Source organism: Homo sapiens, chromosome 13, assembly GCF_000001405.40.
Source record: "Homo sapiens chromosome 13, GRCh38.p14 Primary Assembly".
In the NCBI taxonomy this organism is placed as follows: Eukaryota; Metazoa; Chordata; class Mammalia; order Primates; family Hominidae; genus Homo; species Homo sapiens.
The window spans coordinates 93827705-93853200 of record NC_000013.11 but is presented as its reverse complement, the minus strand read 5'-3'; the positions used below and the strand labels follow the sequence as shown (position 1 = coordinate 93853200).

Sequence of the window (25496 nt, the reverse complement as noted above, 5' to 3'; positions counted from 1 at the left end):
TCCTGGAGCCTGGCTGAATTTTTAAAATTATCCCCACCATTTAATTAGAGTATTGCTTGACCGTGTTTTGGTTTTTAAATAAAACTTTTCATTATTAGTGACAATGTCAGAAGAGGAAATAGTAAACATAGAACAATGTTCATCACATTTCTTCTGTATTTCCCCAGAAATATTTGTAATTATTTTTTAACTGGATTTTTAATTACCATTTTATCCCCTTGAAATTGGTACATATGTTGCCTGCATAAGATTAAAATACTGATTAAATACTAAGATGAGGAACATAAATTTTTGTACAAAATAAACTTTAATAAGCACAAAAGACAGATCCCTTCTGGGAATGATACTAGCCAATAAGAGAGAGGGTGAAATATCCCTCTAGATTGGAAACTGGATCATAGCCATTCAGAAGATCCAACAGAGAAGAGATGTAATTTTGAAGTCAACACTCAGGGAACAATAAAATTTCAAGTAACAGAATCACAGTCAGTTCCCATGTACAATCAATAATAAAACCATGTGTACAAGAATTGAGAGTTTGTGGGGAAAAAGTCTCTTTTCAGTGGTTTTCTGCTATTAATTGGAGAGAGAGAGAGAAATCATTAATCAGAAAGTTTTTACTTTTAACTTTATACTGTAGGCTCTACTTTAGGAAAAGCTGGTAGTATTTATTTTAGACATATTGTACCACAAATTGCTAAGTCCTGAAAATTTCCAGTAGAAATCATGAAATTATTTGGAGTGCTTATTTCGGCTTTAATTAGTTGTCTACAACAAAAATCTTATTGTTGACTGTAGCCTTAAAGATACTTTGGAGAGAATACAGAGAACAGAATAGGAATGTGGTGTCTGCTGAACTTTATTGATTCAGCCCCATGTGTATCTTATATGCAGTTTACAAAGTATGCGTTTCCAAAAGGCATTGTGCATATACCTGTAAACTTTAGACAAGAACAAAAACTGAGATGACTTCCATGTGTGTTCCTTTGTTTGCCAATGCCTAGCAGTGTAATGAGACTAGAGTAGATATAAAGAGAGCCTATTCCTCAGAACCGGTATAGTATTCCATAATTAGTATCATCATGTTTATAATACAGAATATTACAGTGTTTAAATTTGATATTGCTGTCATAGGTTTTTGTTGTCAACTACTTTGGAATACATTTTGCTTTTTTCACCTCTATGTAAAACTGTGATATTATAGACTATTCTTAGTCTTAGGAATCTGCTATTGCTTACCAAACACGTTTATCATATTTTTGTCTCATATAACTATCATAAAAACTTCAGGTAAGTACATCATCCCCACTTCCTATTATCCCCACTTTGAAGATGAGATAACAGAAGCTCAGTGACCTAGAATTTCACTAGGTAACAAGTGGCAGAAGGATATAATCCTCTACTTATTTTACTTGGTACACAAAATCCTGTTGACTGTGCGATTTGATATACTAGATTCACCTGCATATTGATTTAACAAACTGTAGAGTAAATACAAACATAATGCTGTTTTTCAACATCATTATACAATTAAATTTTAAACATAATTCTTCCAAGCTAGCAAAAGTGCCTTCAAATCTTCCCGAGATATATTTAAAGGTTACAGTCAGTGGAAACTTTAGCATAAAAGAAGACTTTCATAAAAGTACTTATTTCCCTCTACTGCAGTGAGCCAAATCTTGATTCCTGAACACTCCTAGCTGACTTCATTTGTGATCACTTTTCAGCCTATATTCTTCCCTGACTGTTAGATGGCACTGTGCCCTCTAACAAAGTGCTATGCCAATTTTTTTAGGATACACATGCCAATCAAATGTGAGATTCAATAGAGAACACTGCAAACACCATTTCCTTAGGAGGACATCCATTATCTCTGGCAGTAACGTGTATTTAACACCAAATAGATCATGAGTGCCAAAATTAAAATTATGAATCATATACAAAAACATAGTATAGTAGATTTAGATGTCTGGCTCTGCCAGCAAAACAGGTTGAATTCTAGAGGCCCATGGAAATCCATTAGGCATACAGGTATCCAGCTGCTCAACACTGTCTTTGGAATTTGAAGTGATTTTTTAAAAAGTCCTGTTATTATAAAAGTAAGCTGTGTTACACCAAAATTAGAATTAAGCCCAATTACAAGGATGACAATCAGAAGTAGTTAGATTCTCAAGCCATATTCAAAGACACATACAATGAAGTACAGCCTACAACTTTCAAAATAACTGCTAGTGCATTAATTGGCCAACCCCTTCCAAGGCAGATCTAAATGCTCAGAGGTGCAGTCCTGAAACTATACTTCAGTTTCTCAGTCATATGTCTAAGACCTCAATAACCATCACATTGGGAATTTCATTCCCAATAAGCATTTCATGTGGTCTAATCTCCTCACTTCATCAAAGAGAAAAGAAATTAAGTTATTCAGACAACTAATTAGGGTCAAACTAAGAATTCCCTTCCAGGTATCTCCTATTTCTGGTCTAACGAGCTCTGGATTACATCAAGTTTCTCCTCTCTTTACATTTTCTCCTATGTTATTTTCATATTACGGTCATGATATAGCATATAATGTAAAAGAGAAAATGTACATATATATATAATTAAAATTCACTGTTCCCAGCAGCAGTTGCATATACCTTGTGACTAGTCAATAAATATTAACTAGTTGTTTATGGAGTTTTATTTTCTCAATAAACAGTGAATTTTCATATCTTCATTAGAATTTATGCTTCTGTTGATATAAAATCTGTGACTGGCAAAATAAAATGGTCTAAGGTCAAAGGGTCCCCATAGGTTGAGCTTGTACCAATGGTCTCCCGAGTTATTATGACTCATGAATACCTATCTTAGCCCTCATTGGCCTCTACTATTCATTTGTCTGGGATCCACTTTAGAATGGGAATTCTAAGGCTGGGCTAGGTGTTATTTACCATCGCACCCACTGCACCTGCCAAAGAGTTGGTGTTCAATAAATGCTGCTGAATGAAGGGGTGAATAAACATATGCACTGGTGTTTTCTACAGATTGCCAAAATTACCCTGGCCAAACCTACTGATTGTCTTTTTCATGCGTGGTTTGTTTTCAAAGATTTCTCATAGGAACTAATGCATCTGAATAAGATCTTCCTTTTAATCGCTCATTCATGACAACAGCCTTTTTTTACTCATGGGCATGAATGATTAAGACCTCTCAGAGGAAATTATTTTAATTACAGAAGTCAGAACAGCTTAATTGTAAATGTGCAATGTGAGCACTTTACAAAAGAGATTATTAGTTGCTTCTCCCTTTATTTCTTTCCTTTCTCCTTAATAATTCTAATAATTCACGGTAAAAATGTTCCCATCATTTTAGCATTTTGGTACATCTTTCTCTTCTGTTTACCCACACCTAGGGAAATGTACAATGTTCACGTGTGAAGACTATGAAACTACTGGTATACCCTTCCTTCCACTAATCATTTACCAAACTCAATTGTAATAAGTAAGTCAACAAGCCTCTGGAAAGATGAGCTGAATTCTAAGGCAAGAAGGGAAAATCTGAGGGAAAGAAGAGTTGCTCCATTAACTATGGAAACAGTATAGATATCTTTATCTATGTATAGGTGGACAGTATAGATATAGGTGTTTTGGAAGTCTGAGTACAAAGATTCACCACTCTTCAGCAGATCTTGAGCTGCAACTGCATCTAGGTGAGAGCTAGAGGGAGATGGGCCTTCTCAGCTTATATTCAGTCATTCATCTTTCATTCATCTACAATGTCTTTCGAGCTGGATATTCCAAAAAACCTAAAAAGAAGCTACCACTCTGTTGGGTAACAACATGCCATGAGTATTTAATTTTATCTCTTTTGTGAGAAAGTAGGGTTTTAGAAAGAACTATAGTACATCCTTTTCCAAAACCATCAGGTATTCAGGCAGGGCACTATTTACAATAAAGTGGGAGATGTTATAACGCATATGAATATTACTCTCCTTCATCCCAACCATGGTAAGACTGAAAGAAAGAAAAAAAGTAATATAATAGAAGTAATAATATTTATTCAACGTCTACCATATCCAAATTGCAATAGTTCTTGCTCTGAGGAATGATAAGGATGGAAGGCATGTTCCTTCCCTGAGTACTAGTTTACAATTTCAGGTTGGGAAGGCCCACTGTATGGTACAATGTGAAAACTTTGAATCAACAAACATGCTGAAATCTTAGTACAGGGGTTCTGAAAAGAGGGTGAGTAAAAAACTGGTTCAGCTCTAAGGAGCTTCCTGGATACATGAGATATGGTGGTCAGTGGATTTTAGCAAGTTTTGAGTGAGGCAAGCGAGCTGGGTTTGAAAGAAAGGGGAGAGGAAGGCACAATGAGTAAGGAAAGTGGCAAAGAAACTCTGATAAAAATTACATTGGTTGCGGGGGGCAGTGGGCAAGACAAATTTGCTTGAGAAATTGGCTGTTGAGTTGGGACTAAAGATACCAGGCCGCAAGGTAAGTGAGAGATGGAAGACTTAAAGGCAAGGCTGCGGACTTCAGACTTGTCAACCTCTTGAGGGTAGGAATATGACATTTAAAGTCCATGCCTAGCAGAGAATCAAGGACTTAGTAAATACCCCAGATTTTTAAAAAGTAATTGATAAGTAATATACTGCCAGGACTTGTAAACAGGACAGTAACCTCATCAAAGTGGTATTTGATGAAGATATTCGTAGGATGCCCAAAAGAAGGTACAGAGCCTAATGACTGGGAGGGTTGCCTTAAGGTGGCAACAGCCTATTCTTGGGGTGATTGAGATGTAGATTTCAGCAGAAACCAAGGCACGGGAAAGGGAGAAATATAGAGAGGAAGCAACACAGAAAGAAAGCAACACAAAACGAAAGTTACAAAATGATTGTGTTGCTTGAAATTTCTAAACTCAATTTTCAATAGTTTGAGGGTTTCTGAGTACCCAAGAGAAAGCACAAACCGTAGATGCTGGAATAAAGAAAAAGTAAGAATTTGAGGATGCAGATAGAAGTTATGTACAAACTTTCTCTCTGTTGGAAATACTCTGACATACTTGTAATCTCTCAAAAAGATTTTTGACTCAGAAGTGAAAAGTAGAGAGAAAATGACTGTGTAGCTAAGATTATGGGATGCTGACATTAAATTGACTGGCCCCAGAAATTGAGTCAATGTTGTGTTCAAAAAACTGCTAGACCAATATTCTGGGCTCTCTTGAGGGAAAGGACTTTAAATCTCACAATAAATCCATGTACATATTCTAAATTAATTTAACGAAGAGAATTATAAAATAAGCCCAAAGTCAGCTCTTCAGCACCATGATACTTTGAGCCCAGGAGAAAGTTGTGTGTATTCAGAACATGGTTGCAGCCACAGAGGCATATACTTCTGCCAGGTTGATCTGACTCTCTATATTACAAAAGGAAAATGAATTACACATCACAATTTGCAGCATGGCGGTGAAAGTATCAATTCCATAATGCATACTTAAAAATTAATAGGAATTATTAAATATGACCCACCTAATGAGAAGATCCTTCCTCATGGAGATAAGCATTTTGGGACAATGAATGTCAATTTGGTTAACTTACTTAGTGTAACACCGTATGCACCCAAGTAATAATTCACTAAAATTGTAATTTCATATTTTTTAAAAAGTTATATTCTAAAATGTTTAATGACAAATCAAATAGAACCAATGCTTCATGGCTGTTACCTGAAAAGAACCTTCTTTACCCAAAGATTGTGAAACACCCTCAAATCTACGTGAACACAAATGAGTCATGTGGTTTTGAGTCATTTAACCCAGTGACGGGCCAGCTTTATGAGTATTATGGCTATTTTTAAAGAGCTAAACATCTCAGACGGCCCCTTCTCATGATCATAATTGGGCATTTATTTATTTCGTTTACTGCTGATACTAACATCCACAGACACGTGCCACCTCCTGTATTAATGCGTCTCCTCCACTTCCCCAGAGCCGACTGAAAATCACAGAGTAGTTCATCCATGATGACTTGCAACCTTCCTCATGGCCATTACACTTAAGGGACAGAAGTAGCACTCCTTGTAGGGCCTTTGAGGCAATGGCAAGAACAAATCCCTCAATAAAGTGTCTATGTTACTTATGTTAGAGTTCCAATTACAGACAAAAATGCATTATGAAAAGACAGAATATTTCTCCATTTTCCTTGTGTATGAATAATCGTGAAATAAACAGAAAGTGTATGAATAATCATCCACAAGAGTTTAGGCTTCCTAGGGAGATATTTTAAATTTTCTTATCTTAAATATGAGAATAATGTATTAAAACATTATCTCCATACTAATTCCTTAGCTATAGCCACAAGCTCTTCTTCAGTATGTGAAATGTGGCTAGTCCAACCCCAAATGTGCTATAAGCACAAAATACACACCAAAATTTGAGGCTGGAGTGCAATGGCGCAATCTCAGCTCACTGCAACCTCCGTCTCCCCGGTTCAAGTGATTCTTCTGCCTCAGTCTCCCGAGTAGCTGGGATTACAGGTGCTCACCATCATGCCTGGCTAATTTTTTTGTACTTTAAGTAGAGACAGGTTTCACCATGTTGGCCAGACTGGTCTCAAACTCCTGACATCACGTGATCCACCTGCCTCGGCCTCCCAAATTGCTGGGATTACAGGCGTGAGCCACCGTGCCCAGCCTGAAAATTTCAAATTATATATGTGGCTCACATCATATTCCTGTCGAATAGCACTACCATAGACCATTGAGTTTTGCATTAGGTTGCTGTATTTAGAGACCAAAAATTCAACTGTGGGTGAAGCAGTGTGGAATATTACAGCATAGGCTCTGTGTCATTCTGCTTTAGGTTTCTTATATAATAAGTGGAATGATAACCATACCTATCTCATAGGTTTAATGTAAGGGCTAAATGGCAAGGTGTAAAAAGTACTTAGCATAGTGGCTGGCAAGTAATCATTTGTTAGCTTGCATTACATTGAACAGGAAGAGAATTTTCATAATGGTGATGATATTATAATGACATAAAATAGGAACAATTCTAAGCCTGTGCTTGCTATACATTTTGGTACATTTTGGCTTCAATGTCTAGTTGTATATATTACGAGGATGTTTTTGAGGGCATTAATGGAAGGGAGGATTCTTCCCTGGTCCTAACATCAGAAATAGTAGAGTTTTCTTCTTAGCTTTTGGTTTACTTTCATTTATTTATTTATTTATTTATTTTTTATTATACTTTAAGTTTTAGGGTACATGTGCACATTGTGCAGGTTAGTTGCATATGTATACATGTGCCATGCTGGTGCGCTGCACCCACTAACTCGTCATCTAGCATTAGATATATCTCCCAATGCTATCCCTCCCCCCTCCCCCCACCCCACAACAGTCCCCAGAGTGTGGTATTCCCCTTCATGTGTCCACGTGATCTCATTGTTCAATTCCCACCTATGAGTGAGAATATACGGTGTTTGGTTTTTTGTTCTTGCGATAGTTTACTGAGAATGATGATTTCCAATTTCATCCATGTCCCTACAAAGGACATGAACTCATCATTTTTTATGGCTGCATAGTATTCCATGGTGTATATGTGCCACATTTTCTTAATCCAGTCTATCATTATTGGACATTTGGGTTGGTTCCAAGTCTTTGCTATTGTGAATAATGCCGCAATAAACATACATGTGCATGTCTCTTTATAGCAGCATGATTTATAGTCCTTTGGGTATATACCCAGTAATGGGATGGCTGGGTCAAATGGTATTTCTAGTTCTAGATCCCTGAGGAATCGCCACACTGACTTCCACAATGGTTGAACTAGTTTACAGTCCCACCAACAGTGTAAAAGTGTTCCTATTTCTCCACATCCTCTCCAGCACCTGTTGTTTCCTGACATTTTAATGATTGCCATTCTAACTGGTGTGAGATGATATCTCATAGTGGTTTTGATTTGCATTTCTCTGATGGCCAGTGATGATGAGCATTTTTTCATGTGTTTTTTGGCTGCATAAATGTCTTCTTTTGAGAAGTGTCTGTTCACAGAGTTGGAAAAAACTACTTTAAAGTTCATATGGAAGCAAAAAAGAGCCCGCATCGCCAAGTCAATCCTAAGCCAAAAGAACAAAGCTGGAGGCATCACGCTACCTGACTTCAAACTATACTACAAGGCTACAGTAACCAAAACAGCATGGTACTGGTACCAAAACAGAGATATAGATCAATGGAACAGAACAGAGCCCTTAGAAATAACGCCGCATACCTACAACTATCTGATCTTTGACAAACCTCAGAAAAACAAGCAATGGGGAAAGGATTCCCTATTTAATAAATGGTGCTGGGAAAATTGGCTAGCCATATGTAGAAAGCTGAAACTGGATCCCTTCCTTACACCTTATACAAAAATCAATTCAAGATGGATTAAAGATTTAAACGTTAGACCTAAAACCATAAAAACCCTAGAAGAAAACCTAGGCATTACCATTCAGGACATAGGCGTGGGCAAGGACTTCATGTCCAAAACACCAAAAGCAATGGCAACAAAAGCCAAAATTGACAAATGGGATCTAATTAAACTAAAGAGCTTCTGCACAGCAAAAGAAACTACCATCAGAGTGAACAGGCAACCTACAACATGGGAGAAAATTTTCGCAACCTACTCATCTGAAAAAGGGCTAATATCCAGAATCTACAATGAACTCAAACAAATTTACAAGAAAAAAACAAACAACCCCATCAAAAAGTGGGGTTTACTTTCATTTAATTAAGAAATAGTGTTTACCGGCCAGGCGTGATGGCTCATGCCTGTAATTCCAACACTTTGGGAGGCTGAGGTGGGCGGACCATGAGGTCAAGAGATCGAGACCATCCTGGCCAACATGGTGAAACCCCGTCTCTACTAAAAATACAAAAATTAGCTGGGCATGGTGGTGCATGCCTGTAGTCCCAGCTACTCAGGAGGCTAAGGCAGGAGAATCACTTGAACGCAGGAAGTGAAGTTTGCAGTGAGCTGAGATCGTGGCATTGCACTCCAGCCTGGTGACAGAGCGAGACTCTGTCTTAAAAAAAAGAAACAGTGTTTACACCAAATGATGGCCAATATAAAGCTTAAAGGAGACTTTGCAAGTTCACAGGCTAGGGAGATGAACAATAACTGTGAGTGAAGTTCACTGAATGTGTTCTTTAACCACAGATGCTATTTGTATATTAAATATTTAACATATTGTGTACTTCCAAAACAAAACAAAAAAAAGCATTATTTTTGAAGCATTATTTTTCTTGACACATGGCTTATTTGGATTACACTTTTTCACTTTTGGTTAAAAAATAGGTACAGAAAAATATTTATTTATTATGAACAAAGGAGCTAAGCACTGAGCTAAATGGCAACTAGCACTGAATTCAGGATCAGGCCAACTCCAGGAGTGTTCAGACCTGCGTTAAACTGAACATGGATGCTAAGGCAAAAAAAAGCTCAGTCTAAAGACTAATTAACTCCAGCTGATCTTTGCTATGCAATTGCCGGCTCAGGGTTGTTTTATCTTCCAAGAAACTGTAGAAATCCATATTTTATGTCAATCCGCCCAATTTAAAAACATTGCTTGAAATCCTAAAGAGCTCATGCCAAATAAATTATGTTTTTTTATACAACTGGGCCAGTTTGGACCAAGGTCCACCAGTTTTTAATCTGACATAGATTCAGATTTGGGGCCCAATGGAAGGTATTGTTCATGGATTTCTACCACACATTTTTTTGTCAGCCTCATTCCTTATCTCCCCTTTATATACCCATCCTTTCTTTTCCCTTTTGAATGAAAACTGTTTCTAAGTTATGGAACTATGTGGAGTAGGTATAAAGTGATCAGTAAATTCCAGCAGTTAAATACATGATAAGAGAGCTACGGAGCTCCCATGTACCTTGGAATTCAGAGTGAAAAGTGAGTCAGGCTAAACATGCACACACATGTACACCCACACATGCAAACAAACGATGTGAGCCAACTGTTTTATTTTCTAGGTAAGGCTGTTTAGGGAATTATTTTTTTGTAAGAGATACCCAGATATATCGGCAGCAAACAAATCTCTTAGGTTGTAAAAGAAAATTTTTAAGATATAGGAGTACTTAAAAAAAAAAAAAAAGAAGTGCCACCGAGGTGGGGAAATGCATGTGATGTTAAAATAATAAAAGTAGAATTTAATATCAAACAGCACACATAATTTTGCAATATAAAATCATATTAGAGATATACTAGAAATAAAACTTTTGACATTTAATTATCTCTGGGTATGGAGAATTTAGAATATTTTATTTTCTTCTTTGTACTTTTCTGCTTCTTCAAAAAAATTCAGATGAACACACATATTGATTTTAGGATCAGAAAAAAATATATGAAGATACTTAAAATTATTTTTCTTACCACCAACAAAAAATAAATATCCTGGTGACTTATTTTTCTTACCACCAACAAAAAATAAATATCCTGGTGATTTAAGCTGGAGCAACAACTTAAATTTCCTCAGTAATTTGAAGGATATAAATGTCTATTTGGCTAGGGTGATTCATAATATTATTTCATTTCTCCAGTTCTCTACTGCAAAATCACAACCCAAGTGACAAACACAAGCAATCAAGAGGGAAGTCTTGGACAGTTGGGAGTGAAAGGTTTTACAATTTGTTAAACATTTAGGATAACAGACCATTGTTGGGAAAGTACTATCACACTAACACTGAAAAAAAATCTGCACAAATAAAAAAGACTTTCAATCTGGATTCTATCTTCCATCCTAGCCAAAAATGTCAGGGTACTTTTTTCTCCATTCCAAAATAGATATTTTTGATATTTTATGGAAAATGGGGCATAAATATTTTATATAGTTATCTTCTCTCTACCGATGCAGCAGAATATCGTAAGGTTTGTCTTTCCAATAAAATGCTTTATTGCAAGCACAGTTGAATTCTCCTTGGCTGAGCCTCTGATTTGTGCAACAAAATTCTAAGATGAAAAGAACAAAGACTTCTGCAAAGTGCTTGGTTCTCTGCTAATTTTTAAAGCGTTATAAAATTGTGTACTTCTTACTAAATGTTGTCCATTTTCATTAAAAACAATGAAATAAGTATTTCCTTATGTCTTGATACATTTTTAGTAACAGAACGTGTTTTTAGAAAGCTGAGAGCAAATGAAAATTTTAAAACCCATTATTTATAAATGAATATATTTCTCTATGAAAAGACTTGTATTTGTACCTACTATAAAAATAGTATGCATAATGTTTCCGTAATTAATGTATTTATGAAAGTTTAAAATATTCAGTGAATGTACTTTTTGATTGCCAAAATTCTATACAAAATTAACATAGAAAAGTTGATCTTCCTCACTTCTTCAGACACTACAATCTGAAAAGGTTAAAATTTCCATATAAAATCCACTGCTCTCTGTTCAGTATTAAATATGACAGTGGCATTTCTGACATGCAGCATGTTCCTGCAAGGGCAAAAATGAATTAAAAAATTCTGTGTATGCAAGCCACTTAAGGGTCATTTGATGTTAACTTGGCAGTATCTACTGATTTCGGCTATAGTTTTACTTACGTCTGAATGTTAGAGTCACCGTTATCCTATTACTGACACTCTGAACTGTCCATTTTCACTCTTGGTTATTTGATTTAGACACAAAAAATGTAGAGTTTCAACATTGTTTGGTATGATTACTATATTCTAAGTATCTGAGATTGACCCATTGTGTTTGTGCTGAATATCACTCATCAGGATGAAGAGGTATAATGCAAATAGATGCAAAGGAATAACCCTTGCTTGCAATGACAAAGATAACAATGGAGGAAATCTACAAAATGTAATAACATACCCCCCTCTTTCTTACAAATATCTGTGTGACCTAATATCTCATTTTTAAAAATGTTAGGATGTCGTATTCCCTATATAAGTCCCGCTTCACTATGTCAGCACTATTAAGGCAATATATCTGTCAAGCTTTATTAAAATTATTTTTGATGTGTATCTTGGCTCATAAACCTCTATAGTGCGCTGATATTGCACCAGGGAATGTCCTTGTAACATTGAATCTCTGAAGATGGGACAATAAAATAGAAATCCTCCAAACTTTCAAGTTGGGCCCATGGTATCACACACCTTGCCTACCCTCCTCACTCGTACATGTGTAAGTGATTACAGTGTGCCTGCTGTGCAAACCTTGTTTCACAGAACCCTCTCATAGGAAGAGCATAATTGCATTCAGAAATAAATGTCCAAAAATGGGCAGCATTGAGACTGGGATAAACGTCAGGTTCATTTTTCTTCATAAAGCTGTTTTACAAGCAGCATTCTCTGAGTTATAGCACTAGTGTTTTATCCTTGGGTCTTTTTTATTTGTGCTGTACTTTAATTGGCATATTTCACCCGTGGATGTTCCCTATTAGTAACAAAGACGTCTCATCTGTTTGTTGCACACATTTTCCACGGTCCCAGGGAAGTTCTTGTATTTGAGGGGGATAGGCAAACAGTAGACATGCCAATCATAATGAGTTTTCTGAAAGCTCATCATGGTTGTACATACCCAGAATATACCCCTGGGAAAAACTGCTAGGGTAGGAAGGTACAAAAATAGGTAAAGAGGAGCTGAACACAGGAAAGGTAAACCCAACATATCAACAAAATCAATCAAAATATGTTCATTATTTTCCTGTTTTTAGCATTATTCTAGAATAGTACATTTCAAATTATCTGTTTGGGGTTCAAATTATCTGAACAATCTTTGGTTGATTGATTTTTCCCAATATATCACAACCTGTTCAGGGTATCTAATTCTTCCTGATTTAAGCTAACAGGGTTGTATTTTCCAGGAATTTATCCATCTCTTCTAGGTTTTCTAGTTTATGTGCGTAAATGTGTTCACAGTAGCCTCGAATGATCTTTTGTGTTTCAGTGGTGTCAGTTGTAACATCTCCTGTTTCATTTCTTAGTGTGGTTATTTGGATTTTCTTTCTTCTTTGCTTGGTCAATCTTGCTAATACTCTATCAATTTTATTTATCTTTTCAAAGAACCAGCTTCAATAACAAGCAGTGAGATTGAAATGGTAATTTTAAAATTACCCACAAAAAAAGTACAGGACCAGACAGATTCATAGCAGAATTCTACCAGATATCAAAGAAGAATTGGCACCAATCCTTTTGACACTATTCCACAAGATAGAGAAAGAAGGAACCCTCCCTAATTCATTCTATGAAGCCAGCATCACCCTAATACCAAAACCAGGAAAGGACACAACCCAAAAAGAAAACTACGGACTGATATCCTCGATGAATATAGATGCTAAAATCCTTAACTAAATACTAGCTAACCGAATCCAACAACATATCAAAAAAATAACCCACCATGCTCAAGTGGGTTTCATATCAAGGATGCAGGGATGGTTTAACATATGCAAGATCTTGGCTCAGAAACCTCTATAGTGCGCTGATATTGCACCAGGGAACATCCTCATAACATTGAATCTCTGAAGACGGGACAATAAAAGAGAAATCCTCCAAACTTTCAAGTTGGGCCCATGGTATCACATACCTTGCCTACCCTCCTCACTTGTACATGTGTAAGTGATGACGATGTGACTGCTGTGCAAAGTTTACACAGCAGTGTAAACGGTGATAAGCCACAGTTTACATTCAGAATAAATGTGATACACCACATAAACAGAATAAATGTGATACGCCACATAAACAGAATTAAAAACCAATATATCATGACCTGATACCTGATCCTATTGAGTACAACTAATATGCCGCTCACACATAGGAGCCTCACCATGCAAATTCAACATCCCAGGAAAAGTCCCATTGATGGTGTCAGAGCAATGTGAAATTGATGTAAAGATTTTTTTTTAACTTTCAATTTTGGTGTGTATCTTGTGGCAAAACAGTAACAGCCTATTTATGAACATGCAGCAGTCCACGAACCAAGCTTTGCACACCTTGTTCTAGAATGTGTAGGGGAAGATAAGTTAACTTCCCAACCAATTAAACCACTCAAGTCAACCTGCGCTTGCTAAAGTCATTAACATCCTAATGGCCACATCCTAAGGTCTGTTTTCTCTGCCCTTTCCACTTAACTATCTGCCACAGTTGATGCTATTGATTAGTCTATTTCTTGAATTCTCTCTCTCTTTACTTTCAGGAGGGCGTGCTTTGCTGGTTCTCATCATTTGTCTTTGTTTTCAGAACTCTCTTTAAATGTGCACAGTCTCTGACATTTCATCTGATCCTGATTCTTCTTTCTCTAGATAAATGTTGCTATCCTTTGCCAACAAACATTTATATGTTGGTGATATTCAAATCAGTCAGCAGGCAGACAACTGTTCCCAAACAGTTCCATCCCTGACTCTGGGGACAGGGCCCTAAACTATGCATCGTGGCTGTTGAGCTGGAGGGTCTCTGCGGTCTTTCCAGATGTGCTCCCCAATCTGCTCCATGCTGCTTTGACTCAGGTCTCATCACCCCTTGTCTGGTTAATTGCAACAGCTTCCCATCCCAGCACCTGCCATCAGTGTGTCTCCTTTCAGCCAGTTTATCAGCTCCCTGCCCATCTTTCTTAAGTGAAAAAATAACCAATTATATATTTGTCTTTTAAAAAATCTTAGCTGGTGGTCCACAGCTCACGTGATGCTCTTCAAATTCCTTAACTTAAAAATAATATGCCCAAATGATATGGTTCAAATCTACTTCCCGGCCTCATTTCCAAACAACCATAACATTTCATGATTTATGCCTTTGCACATGCTGGGCCCTTGGCAAGAAAGCCATACCTCTTTTTTCCCTCTGTGAGATGCTATTCATTCTTTAAGTCCACATCTGATGATTCCCTACTCTAAGATGTCTGCTCCCGTTTCCCAAGGTAAAGGGAAACATGTATTTCCATTGGTTCATATAGTATTTTATCCATACGTCTGTCACCCTGATTAATTACACTACACTTGGACTTTTCATAATGTCTCTCTTCGTGATAGACTGTGAATCCCTCAAGGACAATGCCATTCATTGTTTTTCCCTCTGTTTCTTATAGAGAAGTGCCTGGCACATAGTAGGTGCTCAGCCCATGTCTGTCTCTTGAAAGTACTGGAATGCTTCTATCCACAGAAACTGTTTTAAATTATGCAGGCAGAATAGACAAACAAAACCATTAGTGAAATAGATGGTTTTCATTCAAGGGTTCAGTTAAGGTCTCTATCCTTGTCTCCTGCAAATCATTGCTTTGTACTTTATGGCTCAAGGATAACATGCTTGTAGCTCCCTGCACACATCATTCAGTTTCACACCTCTGCACTTCTGCTCTGTTACTGCCTCTGCCTAAAATGTCCTTCACTGTGCTAGGTGCCCTCATCACCTGCCCAACACCTATGCAACCTTTAACACATGGTTCAAGGAAAGTTTACTTGTGACTCCTCCTACCAAATTAAGCTAGGTGCCTCTCCTCTCAGTTCCCAAAGCATTTATTGCATAATAAATGTTCATTACATAAATAATGTTCATATACATAAATGAATATGTATTCATTATATATTGACATTATTTGCTTCTGTTTCACTCTTCCTAATTATTACTTGTAAATGCTGTAACCTGCTTAGTCTTCATGTCTCAGGAAGTTAACCGACAGTACTTGACATACAAAATACAAAGAACAAATGTTTACTGATCAGGACTGAGCTAAATCTCTATAGTGGCTCTGTTTTTACAAGAGTTAACATTTGGGTCAGATGAAGGTTGGATTATCATAACCACCTATCTCAGATTGTAGAAGACAGAAGTTTATATTCGATAGGTACAATACAGTTATTAGGACTGTGGTTCCAAACAAGTTTTTCTAGCCATGGTACATTTAGATAGGGTTATGGAATCCCTAACTTCTTTCAATATGAATAAAACTTCAAAATCAGATTCAGTGGAGAGACAGGTGGTTGTTTTAACTGACTTCCTATACATAGTATAATTTTACCATGAAGTAATATAACTCAGACATAGGTTACTGGAAACATACACAAGCTACAAAAGAACAAGATTACACAAATAGCCTTTAATTCATTGGAAATAGATAGCTTCATTTTCCTTGGTTTATACTCTCTTCTTAACAATCTTCCATATTTACATACCTAGGCTATACATTTTGCAAGATTACTTAAAATTAATGAGAAAAACTTAAATTGTTTCAATCAATATAATCAAATTGTTTTAATCAAAGTGAAACTTTCTTACTGCTGGAGACTCAACTGTGATACATTCCATATGCTGTTCTAGAGGGGAAAATGTTCTTTTCTTCTACTGACACCTGGACTTTCTTATACTCTTGTAATTTCTAGTGCTTAGCACAGTATCTGAACCATGGTAAGATTCTTGCATTTTTAATGATTTATCTTAATAATCTATTTTTGTTATTATGGTTCCTAGTCCCAATATCAATTTCTTACTATTTTTATTATGAAATTATTTATCAAGTGCAAAGTACTTTCTAAATATAATATAATACTCGAAATACCATCATAAGACAGCAGTCACAGATTATGCTGATTTAAAAGTTGTAAGCATAGAAACATCATTGATAATTTCAAAAGGCTTGCCAATTATTCATAACACTGTATATTATTGAAGTAATCTACATAGAAAAATTATCAGTTACAGAAATGAATACACTAATCACAAATGAACTATAAAAAAACTTTCATTCACCTAAGGCCTTTTTGTGATTGTGTTCATTTCTGGAATGCCCTCCCAAAAATTAACTCCAATCCAAAAACCACCACAGAAGGACAAAACAAGTAACTCAGGTGATAATGACAACAGGTGATCTTTGTATTCTCAATTCTTTCTCAAAAGCAAACGCTAAATAGAATACAATTTCTCTTGTAAATTGAATCCATGGTAAATTCTTCAGAATGGTTTTCCATTGTGATCAGAGAATACTTTAAACAGAGGCATTTGATAACCTCTATTTCATTAAATTTGGTAATAACATTTTTCCTTATAGTGCATCAACCACATTTATTGAAAGTTGACTTTGTCTGTTGCTTTCTAGGCACACATTAATGCAAAGCTGTTTAGTTGGGAATGAACCACTTAAGAGGCTCTTCGAGCAAAAACATCAGTCTATGTAGCAGACGTAGGTGGGTGTCTGTTGATGAAAATATTCCGGTTTTACTAAAGACTAAAAGTCAGACTTTCTTTTCAAAGTCATGAGCCACAGGAAGAAAGATTTTTGATAGAGAGATGGATAGAGAGATAGTTGACAGTATTTGTCAATAGTTCAAGTTATATGGATCCCAGCTCTACTACCTCCCCCATTTGTCTGTAATAAATCAATGAGATGACTTGCAAAGTTGAAATGATTGCTCTTGACACAATTTACAGCGTTTACTCATAGAGGTCACTTCTTAAAAATTTTTAAATTTATTTATTTATTTATTTATTTAGAAGGAGTTTTGCTCTTGTTGGCCAGGTTGGAGTGCAATGGCGTGATCTTGGCTCACTGCAACCTCTGCCTCCCGGGTTCAAGCGATTCTCCTGCTTCAGCCTCCCAAGTAGCTGGGATTACAGGCATGTGCCACCACACCCGGCTAATTTTGTATTTTTAGTAGAGACAGGGTTTCTCCATGTTGGTCAGGCTGGTCTCAAACTCCTGACCTCAGGTAATCTGCCTGTCTCGGCCTCCCAAAGTGCTCAAATTACAGGTGTGAGCCCTGCGCCTGGCCAGAAGTCACGTTTTTTTGAGACAGGGTCTGGCTCTGTTGCCCAGGCTGAAGTGCAGTGGCACGATCTCGGCTCACTACGACCTCCACCTCCTGGGCTCAAGCCACTCTCCCACTGCAGCCTCTCAAATAGCTGGAACTACAGGTGCATGCCACCATGACTGGCTAATTTTTGTATTTTTTGTAGAGATAGGATTTTACCATGTTGCCTAGGCTGGGTCTTGAACTCTTGAGCTCAAGCTGTCTACCTGCCTCGGCCTCCTCAAGTGCTAGAATTACAAGTATGAGACACCATGCCATGCCAGAAGTCACTTTAAAGTCATGTCTTCTTAGTGTAAATGGCATCAAGATGGACTAGTGAAGACACTATAGTCATTTCCACATTTGCCTTTATAATTAATAAAGACTGGTTTAAGCAGACAATCTGTTAATATCTCTTTATGAAGCCCTCTCTCTTCCTCACAATGTCTGACAAGCCTTCAGAGTGACGGCTGGTATCCATGTTTCCACTCACTAGTGGTGGAAGATAAGGGAATGACGGTGGTATTTTAATAAAGGGACAGTGCTAAAAAATAGTCTGAATCCATTCTGTCAAGGTGCCCACATTATCAAAATTTATTTTTTTCTTCATTTTAGAGCTCTTCCTTCCATGCCTTTCTGACATCACTTAGCACAATATGGAACATGGAAACTGACTTGCTAGCAGGTCCATGAACAGTAGTTAGTACTACAAACAACTGAGGGTAGCTCAGGGACTCAATTGTAGTTACACAGGTAGAAACAGAGATGGAAAATGGTAAAATCTTTCTACATCTTAATTTATTTCATTAAAAAAGCTTTACACAATACATTCATGTATACATGCTTGCACATACATGCATGCACACACACACACACACTCCTCAAGCACCTGGCTTAAGAAATAGTATGTTATTGATAACTTTAGATATCTCTATGTATCCCTCCTTCATCTTACCTCCAAACTGCATCTCCAGAGGTAACCACCATCTGATTCTTTTTATCATTCTTTGAAATTTCTTTGGAGTTTTACTACATATATTTTATTCCTAAACAATGTATTGCTTAGTTTTACATTTTTGAACTTCATAAAAATGTATGTATTTTAGATGACTTGATGTTTATCTCTCACAATGAGGTTTCTGTAACTCATTCATGAGCACTTTCTATGCTCTGGAAAATTTCATGATGTGAAGAGATAACCATTTAGGCAGATGGGCCATTTGTGACGTTTCTACTTTCTATGTCATTGTAAAAGATCCTGCTACAAACACTCTTCTACACGTCTAATTGTATGCACATGTAACAGTTTATCCGGATGAAATTGAAGTTTTAGAATAGGTACATCTTCAACAATACAGGTATTTTCAGATTATTATCTAAAGTGAGCATATAAATTGATAATTCCACCAGCAATGCATGGAGGTTCCTGATATTCCACCTCTCATCAACACTTGACATGCTCAAAATGGTCATTCACACAGAAAATGAATCCTGGCTGGCTGACCATAGATATTCACTAAGAATCACATAGTGCTTCTAAGAGTCACATGGTGCTTCTAAGAGTCAGACCTAGAGTTATAGTTACTTAAAATAAACTGGCCCCATCTGAAGGCTAGAAAAAGACTGTTTGTATCCATAAGATGGCAAGCAGAAGTTTTAAAAATAATTCTGTTGATGCTTACAATTTAGACCTCCATTTTTCTGGTAAGAAATTTCCCAATAATGTTCTGAACATTATGTCAAAACATTTGTGTCAAACTGCTGTGTTCTGCCAAAGAGGTAAATTTTCCAGTCAAAGCAATTAATTAGAAGATATTCATGATGTCTTTCAAGATTAAAAAGTCACCATAAATGTAGAGAGAAACTGAAGAGAAAAAAAAAAATCACTCAAATCAGGATGCAGGAGATAAGCTAGTTTGTTCATCTCCATTTGGGAATTTTGCTTTGAGTTTTCTAACTCTTCTGTCATCATTTCTCCAACTCTAAATCACTCAATTAATAGACCATAAAGAGGCTTCAGGTTTATGAAGGGCTTAAACCTCAAACACAATTCTTGCTTCTCTTCTTAATGTATTTAGTCTTTGTGATATTTTATTCTTATTACAAAAATACCTTGGGTGTTGAAAATCATCATAGTACCAGTAGATCACAAATTGCTAGTTTAGTCGGCTCTAGACCATCTTGTAATCATTAGGTGAGGAAGTTCATTGGTAAAATACTTAAATTCCTGAGACAAATTATTCACAAAAGCATTGCTCAGCTTCTTTCAAACCAAGGCTATATATATATATACCATCTCTCTCTCTCTCTCTCTCTCTCTCTCTCTCTCTCTCTCTCTCTCTCTCTATCATCTACCTATCTACCCATCCATCCATCCATCCATCCATCCATCTATCTCTCTACCCATCTCCAAAAGGCAGTGCCCAAATGTCAGGATGGGGCTTATAATTTTAACTGATTAGGGATGATGATGAAACTCAGGTCAAACAAGCCAATATCTGCAAGGAACAGTTAACTTTCCAAGGTTAAATGACCTACGGACTATATTCCATGCCCACAGCAATTGTTCTGCAAAAGAATGGTGGTCTTGAAGGGATCAGTGGGAGAGAGAATACAGTGTTGGAAAATACATTTCTCACCACTTCTAGAGAAAAAGGTCATACTCTACTGATGGTTGGCTCATGAGGTCATCCTTCGCCAGAAGGAATAGCGTGTTAGACTTTGGTCAACAAAGACCTCAGTTGAGGCAGTCAGAGAGTGACCAAGGGGAGACACCATCTCTAGGCAGTTGTGAATGACACTCACTGAAAAACAGGAGGGATAGCCAGCAGCAGCCTCCCTCATGGCTTTGTAGACACTTTGCTAGAAAATATTCTGTTATCTCACCGGAAACTTGCCAGATCATAATACACACATCTAAACATTATTAACACTCAATTAGAATAAATACACATAATCAGGCATATATCCATCCATACTTTGAATTTCTTAATTCATATTTCTCAAAGGCTGGCTACATGTTTATCCTTCAACAAAATCAAAAGCTTCAGCTTGCAGCCTCTGTGACTAATCCTATTATTGAGTTTAACTTATTAAATTAATTTACACTTATTTTACAACAAAATGCATCTACTCAAGAAAATATGGAATGCATATTTATTTTCTACACTTATTCATATTTTACTGACAGTCCTCAGGTGATGATATTTCCTCTTGCTATTCTACCTAGCTAATTCCTTATAAATGCATTTCTGGGGCTCTAGTTTCTTTGGTATCTAAAACATTGTTGAGATTCAATGTAAGGACATTATATATATATATATATATATATTTTTTTTTTTTTTTTTTTTTTTTTTTTTTTTTTGAGTTGGAGTCTTGCTCTGTCACCCAGGCTGGAGTGCAGAGGCTCGATCTCAGCTCACTGCAAGCCCCGCCTCCCAGGTTCATGCCATTCTCCTGCCTCAGCCTCCAGAGTAGCTGGGACTACAGGCGCCCACCACCACGCCTGGCTATTTTTTTGTATTTTTAGTAGAGATGGGGTTTCACCATGTTAGCCAGGATGGTCTCGATCTCCTGCCCTCGAGATCTGCCCGCCTCAACCTCCCAAAGTGCTGGGATTACAGATGTGAGCCACCGCGCCCGGCAAAGATATTATTTTAAACATTAGAATCATATGCCCTTTATATTGATAAATAAGCCCTTGTAATTATTTCCTTCAGCGCCTTCCTAGAAATAATCTTTCTGTATGCTCAAATAAACGTTTAGGAAATTAACAATTTAAAATGGGCTATTACGGATTTTACTGACAGTGCAATAGAGAAACATTTGTAAGGGTACACACCATCTTTATGCTAGGATGTAAATATTGAGGAGACCAAAGTGTCAAAAAAAAAAAAAGAAGCATTGTAGGACAGTACCAATAGTTATGAAAAATACTGTGGCTCTTTGGCACAGCCCTCCAATAGAAAAGTAGTGTTTGGGAATAATCCTTATACAAATACACCTTCTTGGAGTGACATAATACCAGATTCCTGTTACGTATTATTTTTAACTTTACTTCTTTAAGTAATTGTCTTTCATTTTATTTGGAGGACTGACCTCACAAGTGCCTTAAATGTCAAGAAAGAACTTAAACAAAAGCAGATATCCTCTACACAGGAAATATTCAATGTTTAAGTAGTGGAATGTAGAATTATCCCTTATATCCAAGGTATAGAGATGTTATCTTCAAGAAAGGCCCAAAAGTAGATTAATGATTGATCTTATTCATAAGCCCAAGGCAATGCATGGTATGAAATTACAAAGATAAGGGGTAACAAAAGAAATTCTCTAGGAGAATCTATACTTGGTACTCATTAGTCCTTCCTAATCCAGTAATACAGGTGTCAGCAAAGGGCTCTTCTTTTACCATGAAGGAATTTGGCCACATTGACATGTGTTGAAAAAGAAGAAATGCCAGGTGCTGATGTCCTGAACAATAACTTGTCTCCATTCGCAGGTCCATGAAGACTGTCATCTTGACTCCCTAGAGGATTATAACCTCTGAATGGATTCTTTCATGAGTATTTATCATCCTTAAAACCCTGATCAGAAATATCAAATGATCATAGTTGCAACGTGCCTGCTTTTGCACCATTGGTACTAAAAGCTTCTCTGCTATACTGCTGATAAGTATTAACATTAATTTTCAAACCACATAGAATGGCTTAAAATCCTGTTCTCTCTCACACAATGCAAGGAAAAGAAAGCCAGAATTATGCTTTGATATTTAACTGATTAAGAGCAAGGACCACCAATTAAGAATTTTTACCTTGGTTTTTTTTTTTTTTTTTTTTTTTTTTAAACATTGGTTTTAAAAACAGAATAAACAAGGAACACCAATGAGAAAGAAAGCACGTTTTCAATTACCTTGGAAACTCGGTTTGCAACTTCTCTGCCCACAGTCAGCCCCTGGACAAAGGTCCTGGCAGCAATGAAGGCGCGGGTAACCTGAATCTTCAGTTTCCGGGGCACGTCTCCAAATGGCTTGAGCTGGTCAGTGTATTTGCTCACACATTCCAGGTAGTCTTCACTGAAGTGATACTGAGGGTTTATCAGCTGAAACATCCGTTCCAGGAGCCGAGCCCAAAAGTCATTGAGCATTTCCTCCAGATTCACATTACCCCCAGTGTAGTACCTTTTCAGCTCTGTGAAGAGGTCCTGGAAGACTTCTGAATTCTGCATGTACAGCATGCCATAGGTCCGTACAAACATATCATTTAGTGACTTTTCTGCATTCTCCAGGAGCTCTCGGAAAAATTCTGCAGATAAAACAGAAAGAAGTCATAAATTAATGAAATCTAGAAAGCCCAAGGCACCCACTTACCTTAAGTACAACTGCTTTTAATTGACATTTTCATGGAAAAACATATCCTGTGATTAAGGTGTTAATGGACAGATAAAAAACATATTTTAAATGGGATTTGACCTACATCTATGACCTTGTACAACTCAAAACAGAATACCCCATGATTTCCATTAACATTAGGAGTCTACCATGTAATCCTCCTCCAAAATAGCTCAATTCTTTAATCATTTCTTGTTAAATTTTAAATAATCCTATGGTTTGATACAAACTCAAATCAAAATATATTGCAAATATAACGTGCAGAGTATTGTTGTTTACATAATGATAAACACATTTGCTTCAGTTTATTTATAAATTTGTCCTAACACTAAATTCCATTAAATTGCTTTTATTTGAAATAGTCCATAAATGAGATGTTCAAATTAATGTCATATTTTAGACTCTTTCTAGTTTCTATATATAGCAATCAATTAGCAATGTTCAGATATTCATAATGCAATTAAATTCACTTCATAATAAAGCTATAATGAGCATAATTTAGGTGGCCATAATGAGTCAGAAAGCCTTAAAGTATCTTGGATTATCATTACAAATATAAACCATCATGTTATAGAACTTGAATAAAATATTGACAATTGGACTTTCTGGTTATGAGGTTCTAAATGAAAAAGTGCACACCAATAATTCAAATCTTCCACTTTGCAACAGCGCTTGAGTGTTACTGGGATCCCTTATAGGATGCAAAAAAATAAGACAAAAATTAAAGCCATTGGGTATCATTAGCCTCACTGGCCCTCATGCTAGTCTCCCTCAAGACACACTTTGTGTGTGTAGGGCACCTATCCTTTTGCACAAATAAGCTTGGGTAGAGCAAGTTCAAGTTTTATCTCATTTAGAGATTATAAATTGGGGTAGGGAAAGAGCTAAGGAAAGATAATGCTTCTGAGGTTATCAATCTAAGTTCCCAAGAGTAAAATGATTCTGCTTTACCTCTTCATAGTCCCCGTTTATTGCCTGAAACTATGCCCCTTCTCAGAAATGCAGGGACAAATCAAGTCCTGCATATTTCAAAAGCTCCAGGAATTTTTTAAAAGGACTCTTCTCCTTTCTGGGGTTCTGGGTATTCTCTGCTAAGATACAGAAAGGAAATAGTGACGAACACCTCTCCATTAATTCCATGGAAGCTACTTGTGCATTCTTAGAAGTTGGCTGAAGAAGTGCTTGGTTTAGCCACTTCAGTTCTGATTAATATACAATCAAACCATTGTCTTGATAATTAAATGGTGTCTATAATAATGATAAATGTTTTATATTTGTTTTCAAATCAGACCAAAGCAGCAATGAAAGTACTTTTCATTTGTTTACCTCCTTTCTATGAAATATATATATATTTTTAAATAGACATTCTGTTGCTACAGTGGCAGCAAAAACTGTGGGATTACAAATACTGTGTAATTTTGTCCAGGTCACCAAATGGTTTTTATTTTTACTAAATGTAAAATAAAGTTGAATATTATTAAATCTCTCTGAATCTTTAGGGATTCGGTAAAGAAAATGACTATTGAAGCAGATAGGGCGAAATTTGCAAAATTGAGAAGCATAAATTTATCAAAATATTTATATATGCTGTATGCTGATATTGCTTATCATTTTAGGAAATCAAGAGAATTTCATACTTTTTTCAAAAATGCTAGTTATCTAGTTTGTCCTAAAATGGAAACTATATTAAATTATTAATATAAAAGTATGAGAATATCATAAGTTAAACCTTCCGATCTGGAAACCAAGAATGAAAGTAGCTTGGCCTTGCTGATACAGGAACAGGGTGGAAGGCGTAACAGATTGTGAAAGAAGATAAAAAAGAATGGGAAAATCACTGAATTGAAAAATACTAATACAATGAGACTGGAAAGTGGATTCTAATCATGAGCTCTGCAGCCTATTCATTTATCTTCTTTTTGAGGTCAATTATTTTGTTGGACTTAGGAATTAAAGCTTAATTTATTGAATACAGAATACTGCCTTCAGCAATGAATAGTAATCAATAGTGTGGTCTGGATTTGCAAAGAGCTTTAAAAAAAAGAGAAAGAGAAAAAAAAAAATTCTCTGATACTCATTGCTTTCCAAAGTCTTGAGAAATAAATGTTTGTCTTAGGAATAAAAATATCATTTTCTCTTTTACTGAGGGTAACACCTCCTTCAGTTTTTTTTTATTTTTTCTTCTGCTGATATGAGGACTCTGAATATTGAGCTATGCCCACTTTGAAAGTGAATGGTTCAAACAAGACTGCCCACTCACTATGTCTTGTGGTTTGTTTTTCCCAAGTTTAAATTAGTATTTGTGATTGAGTATAGAAACCAAGTTATCACATTTCAATAAATACGGCTCAAATAACATTTTC

At 36.4% G+C, this 25496-nt stretch overlaps 1 protein-coding gene and 1 long non-coding RNA gene across 4 annotated transcripts in view; one reads left to right on the top strand and one right to left on the bottom strand.

The window, feature by feature from the left end:
* The window catches only part of GPC6 (glypican 6), a 1191492-nt gene that overhangs the window by 554820 nt on the left and 611176 nt on the right, over positions 1 to 25496 (bottom strand). For all 3 annotated transcript variants that reach the window (XM_047429990.1, NM_005708.5, XM_017020300.2), the window contains exon 3: positions 22656 to 23047. In XM_047429990.1, the coding sequence (XP_047285946.1) occupies positions 22656 to 23047 (392 nt within the window). The remainder of the gene's footprint in view (positions 1 to 22655; positions 23048 to 25496) is intronic.
* Positions 1 to 25496, top strand: part of GPC6-AS2 (GPC6 antisense RNA 2) — a 40050-nt gene that overhangs the window by 5273 nt on the left and 9281 nt on the right. Inside the window, exons 4-5 of the long non-coding RNA NR_046536.1 lie at positions 17057 to 17144; positions 22246 to 22385. This is a non-coding gene — a long non-coding RNA (GPC6 antisense RNA 2). The remainder of the gene's footprint in view (positions 1 to 17056; positions 17145 to 22245; positions 22386 to 25496) is intronic.